The 6075-nt window shown below is 45.1% G+C and overlaps 1 annotated feature.

Annotated features, from left to right (window-relative positions):
• Nucleotides 1844–2344: an enhancer, noted in NCBI's record as "H3K4me1 hESC enhancer chr20:20786234-20786734 (GRCh37/hg19 assembly coordinates)". NCBI's record gives its function as "activates a minimal SCP1, AML or CMV promoter by ChIP-STARR-seq in naive H9 embryonic stem cells {active_cell/tissue: H9 hESC(naive)}" and the evidence as "EXISTENCE:reporter gene assay evidence [ECO:0000049][PMID:30033119]".

A 6075-nucleotide genomic window follows, 5' to 3' on the forward strand; every position in this document is an offset into this window, starting at 1 on the left:
CACTGCATCCTGCCAAAAAATTTTAAAACTCTGGTTTGAATTTGTTTTTCACACAACCCCAAATCCTGTCCAATCCAACATCCTACATAAAACATGATTTCTACCTTCAAGGACTTATGCAACTGAAACAGAAGACAGAACGAATGCAGGAAAAACTACAAGAAAATAGAGAAGAGTACTGCATTGGTAGTGCTTTATTTTATGGTATAGATCATGAGCCCCGTGAGTCCTTCAGAATTCAGAGAAGAGGTCATGAAAGAGGAGGGGCATGAAGTGGGCCTTGGAGTCATACGATTTGAATGGACAGGACATTAAACAGTGCCACAATCCCTTGTCTGCCATTTGAAATCTGAGAACCAACAGTTTTTGGAGAGTCGGGGCAGACTCCTTATGTTAAACATGCAGAAGCAGAAATTGTATTTCATTTTATTTTTAAATTTTTTTAATTTTAATTTTTGTAGACTGGGTCTCGTTATGTTGCCCAGGCTGGTCTTGAACTCTTGGGCTCAAGTGATCCTCCTGCCTCGGCCTTCCAAAGTGCTGGGATCACAAGCGTGAGCCACCATGCCTGTCCTAGAAATTTTAAACTGATTGATTAAACTGGGAGTGTGGTCCCAGACTCTTCCAGGGGTGATATGTCAAATATGGGATATGAACTGTTCAATTTCTGATACTTATCTGGCCTAAGGAGTTTGTATAGGAGACCACGTATCTGTGCTTCATATCTCAGGGAAACGAGGGATGTGTTTGCTGAGGCCTGGCTGTCAGGAAGTGTCAGAGAACCCCACAGGCACTACTTGAAAGGTGCTTGTCCTACAGGTAGCTGGAGAAAGATGGTTACATCCAGGCTGGGTCACTCTCTGCTGGATATACTCTGCCCCGGGCTGCCTCCTTCAGGGGGTGGGGGGAAAGGGACTATCTTCTAATTTGCACAAAAGTGCCATGTGATGTCTCAGATTCCTCTTAGCCTGGGCTCTCCTTCAAGGCAGAGCCTGAGACAAGGGTTTGAGCCAACTGGTTTACTTGGGAGGTGACCCAGAAAGCCCTGTGAAGAGTGGGGAAGTGAGGCAGGGAAGTCAATAAAGGGTTTGCTCATGAGTGAGTTACTGCAGAGGGCCGCTGGGCTCACTGCTGCCAGGGACCTCTGGGAGACAGTGGAGCACACATCAGAATTGCCCCAGAGAGTGGGGAGGAAGCCACGGCGTGTACTCACCAACTGGTCGAATGTTGTCTTGGGGGCCTTAAGTGCTCAACACTTCCTGGCCTCCCTGCAGTCCTCCTGTAGAGAAGAAGGGAGAGGCTGGCATATTCTTGAAGTAGGAAGCTCCCAGTGTGCATAGAAATTGCCCACCAACTGGAGGTGAGCACCGGGTGGGCCAAGAGAATGTGGCCCACAGTATCTTCTTGCAGAGCCCCTGCTAAACACTCCCTCCGAGGCTTTGTCTATCTCGGTTGACCACACTGTTCAGTGCTTCCTTTCCCTTTCCACCTATGAGCTCCCTGAGCTTAGGGACTGTTCCCTTTCATAGCTGTATCCCCATGCCTGGCATGGCGGCTGGGTCAGATCGTTACCCACCACGGGTTCTTGGGCTCTCAATGCAATAGGAATTGTCATGAGGCCAAAAGAGCTTTCCCAAACAAGGCTTTATGGGGCTGTGCCCAGGCATAAGGGAGGCAGCTCAGGGAAAGGATTCCCTAGCTGGCTCCCTGGAGGGTGTTGGAAAGGCATTTTTATAGGGGCCACAGCGGGAAAGGAGTGGCGTTAGGCATGTAGAGGCGGGAATGCTTAGCACCCGTGCAGATGAAAATACACTTCTTCCTGTGTCACGTCTCATTAGGATGTTAAATCTCTACCCGGGTGTGATTTTTGGTGTTATAATGAAGCTAAGATTAAGGGTCAGTTTTTCTTCTGGCCTTGTGGGTATGCAGGCAATAGGGTTAACTCCTTTGAGTAAGATTTAAGGTGGGAGCTGCTTATTTTAGCTTCCTCCAGGTCCCTCAATCTGTAGGTATGGCGCCTTGAGCAGGATTTATGGGGCAAGGTCTGGATGGCCTCGTTGGGATTCCCTCCAGCCCTGGGGCCTCCCGGTCACCAGCTTGTAGTAGACGTCCTCAGTGAGAGACAAGTGGGTGGGGCCCAAATCATCTCCCTACCCCGTCTCAGGATCAGCGCCCAGGTAGCATGTGCCAGGTCTGGGGTTCTTCCTGCGTACTTTACTCCTATTGTTCTCCAAAGTGTGCACTGCAGGTAGGACAACCAAATCTCCCATCACCACTTAATGCGGCGAGGGTTGGCAAGGAATTCCACTGGGTACCTGTCTCTGGAGGCTGAGGCCGGAGGCTGTGTGGCTAGGCTGACTATGGCTCTGCCTGGTACCTACTCCTGGCCAGGGGCAAACCTTTCCTTTAGGTGTTTTGGCAGAGTCAGACAGGGTTGCTCCTCACATTCCACACAACAGCTCTCGCCTTCATAAAGCACTTAAAGGCTGGTTGGCTCTCTATGGGTTTCCAAAGAGGAGCAGACTTCCTGCAGTCCAGATGTCTGGCAGGGGCCTGGTCCTTGTGCTGGTTCCCTCTCCAGCTTTGTTGTGATGTAGGGAGAAGCCTCTCTGTCTGTTTGGGATAAACTTAATCCTCTAAACAGCAACTGATCCAAAATTTCCATATAGGCGGGGTCTGGGGGGCAGCCATCTGGTTGGAAGGAAGATTAGGGAACTTGTATTAGAACTACCTCTCTCTAATGTATGGTGAGCACCCTGGTTTCCCTTTGGGGTGGCTTTATAGAGGGGTCAGTTGATATTACAAGGAAGCTAAAGGATGCCGCCTGTGATACCTGAATTCCTTAAGAACAAGGCATCCTGCAGGGAGAATTTGCAGAAATGTGATGGGGGATGGGCAGAGCGAAGCCAGAGGAGACCTTGACAGTCGGCCACCAAATATTCACCCGACCTCTGCTAGATTTGTTCTTGACAATGCACTTTTTTGTAGGCAAATCAAGTTATCGCTCTGTTAGAAAGAATAACAATCACTGTCAAACTCCAATGAAGACCTATGTTTTTATTGTTGTGATTTCTGATAAGTCCCCTGGACCAGGCCCTGCAGTCCAGACCCTCGCCTCGCCAGCTGCTTGTGCTGTGGAACTGCCTCCATCTGTCTCCCTGTGAAACCGTGGTTAGCACATCATTAACCCATCTACGGAGATTTCAGAATTTATAATCCTCAATCGTTCACAGAATGAAAACAGATGCTTTGCCAGAAATTCACTATCAAAGAGAAGCATTTAATATTGGTAATTAGCAAATTAAAAAGAGGCCAAAGTGCCCAACTCAAACCAAAATTCTTCCCCACAGAGTAAATGCAGTATGATTTGAAGTAATGAACTGCAATCATCTCTATTTTGTAGCTTCCTACCCTTCTGTGTGGACCAAGAAAAGCTCCTGCTTACAATTTTGTACAAAGGAGATGAGATCTGTCAAGAATATTTTTAAAACATACCACTGAAGAGATGACCCAAATGGCTGGGGCATCTACTGCTGGAACAATTGCTGGCATTATGGGATGTTGCATGCACTAGCCACTAGACTCCATCAAAGAGTTGGGCTGCATAAGCTGGTGTGGGTTCAGATGCCAGGAAGAGTTGCTATGACAGCAAAAAATTTGATGTCCTTTGGAGGGTAAATTCTTGATTGAGGGACAAAATTAAGGGGATACAGGTTTGCATAGCACATTGAGAGATAGAAACTTCCCAAGTGATTCCTAAAAAACAGGTGCTTATGGAATTGCTAATGTTCTACAGTCACATGGAATTACATGGCTATGTGATGCTTTCCTTCCTCTGCAGGTAGTGCAGACTTTGGGATGGGAGATTCTGTTTTAAAATGGAACTCTTCTACAAAAGGAGACACTTCCTGCCCTGACAGCATCAGTTTTAACATCTGCATTTCAGAAGTAGAATCTCAGTTTTTCATAAGAGAACTAGTTTTTTGTTGTTGTTGTTGTTATGTTTTGTTTTGTTTTGTCCTGTTTTGAGACAGGGTCTTGTTTTGCCACCCAGGCTGGAGTGCAGTGGTGTGATCATGGTTCTGTAGCCTCCACCTCCTGGGCTCAAGTAATTTTCCCGCCACAGCCTCCAAAGTAGCTGAGACAACAGGTGCATACCATCATACCCAGGTAATTTGTATTTTTTGTAGAGATGGGGTTTTGCTATATTGCCTAGGTTATTCTCAAACTCGTGGACTCAAGAGATTCTCCCACCTCAGTATTATAGGTGTGAGCCACCGTGCCTAGCTGAAAACTAGTTTTAAACCACAAAAGATAATATATATTTATGGACTTTAAAGCAAGTATGTCCTACTAAGGTAAGAGAACAAGTCAGTGGGAAACAGGAGGTATCTCATGGACGTATGTATTTTTTAGCATTCTCTAAGCAGCTAACATAGAAGTTCCTGTTTCTCTGTAACTCGGTCCCTGAAAGTCTTCAGAGGGTTTTGTGGCCTGGAAACTGGCCATCTCAAGCCATTCCTTGCAATAGCAGTAGTCTTTCAACTTTTAGGACGATGACAACAAGATAGATCATACCACTTATGTGTCCCTTTTTAAAAGAAAATATTTGTAGTTCAAATATAAACCCTGTGATTTTTAATATTCATAGTGTGGATAACCAAGGCAGGAAGTCAATGCCATTTACAGAACAATTCTAATTTCAAATATTCCATCCCCTTGTCTCCATAAACCACTGAAATATCTCAGAAATCCCAGTATGTCCAATCCAGGTAGCCATTAAAAGAAGTTCATAAGCATTATAATGACTATATTCAAAAGTCACATCAGATCAACAATGATTCTACCATGATTATTATACACTATGTGCACACTAGCTCTTATTCTTTATTTATTATTGCTGAGTTTATTTAGTGTATTTGGGCTTTGTTTTTTGAGTTATAAAGCTCACGAACATCTCACTGATATAAATGCCTATTTGAGGCCAGGCGCAGTGGCTCATGCTTGTGATCTCAGCACTTTGGGAGGCTGAGGCGGACAGATCACTTGAGATCAGGAGTTCGAGACCAGCCTGGCCAACATGGTGAAACCCCATCTCTACTAAAAATACAAAAAATTACCCAGGTGTGGTGGTGCACACCTGTAGCCTCAGCTACTTGGGAGGCTGAGGCAAGAGAATTGCTCAAACCCAGGAGGTGGAGGTTGCGGTGAGCTGAGATCGTGCCACTGCACTCCAGCCTGGGAGACAGAGCAAGGCTCCTTTTTGAAAAATAAAAAAATAAATGCCTATTCGATTGTGACTATAAATTCAATGTAAGTTGGTGCTGACATCCTAAGGATGACAACATTTCCCAGCCCAGTTGTACATAGTTCAAATTTAAAAGGATTTGAAATATTATTCAATTATAAAATGTTATATTAATGTTGGAATGAATGCAAAGGACAGGAGAGAAAATGCTTTAGAGCAGCTTTCTAGAAGGAAAGCATTTGATAAAGTTGCTAATTGCATGAAAGCTGACATCAGTTTTCATACTGAATCTAAAAAGATTCAGTTAGCTGTCAGACCTGCAACTTCAAGTGCCGCAGAGAAGGTATTTCTTTTTAAAAATTTTAATTTTATTTATTTTAGAGAAGAGGTCTTGCTCTGTTGCCCAGGCTGGAGTACAGTGGCACAAGCATAACTCACTGCAGCCTTGAACTCCTGGGCTCAAGTGATCCTCCTGCCTCAGCCTCCTGAATAGCTGGGACAACAGGTGCATGCCATCACACCTGGTTAGTTTTTAAATGTTTATTTTTAGCAGAGATGGGCATCTCATTATGTTGCCCAGGCTGTTCTTGAACTCTTGGTCTCAAGTGATTTTCCTGCCTCCTTAGTTGCTGGGATTATGGGCATGAGCCACCGCACCTGTCTTGGGAAAGGTATTTCTTGAAGCTGGGCCATCCAAATGCCTGTTTCCCAGATAGTTGTGAGTAGGTTGGACTATTCTTCCACTTTCTGTGCATATCCATGCACATCGTCCTCTGCTTGATCTATTTGCTTTCACACACTTCTGTCAATTTCATCTTCTTAACTCC

This window comes from Homo sapiens, chromosome 20 (genome assembly GCF_000001405.40).
Source record: "Homo sapiens chromosome 20, GRCh38.p14 Primary Assembly".
Lineage (NCBI taxonomy): Eukaryota > Metazoa > Chordata > Mammalia > Primates > Hominidae > Homo > Homo sapiens.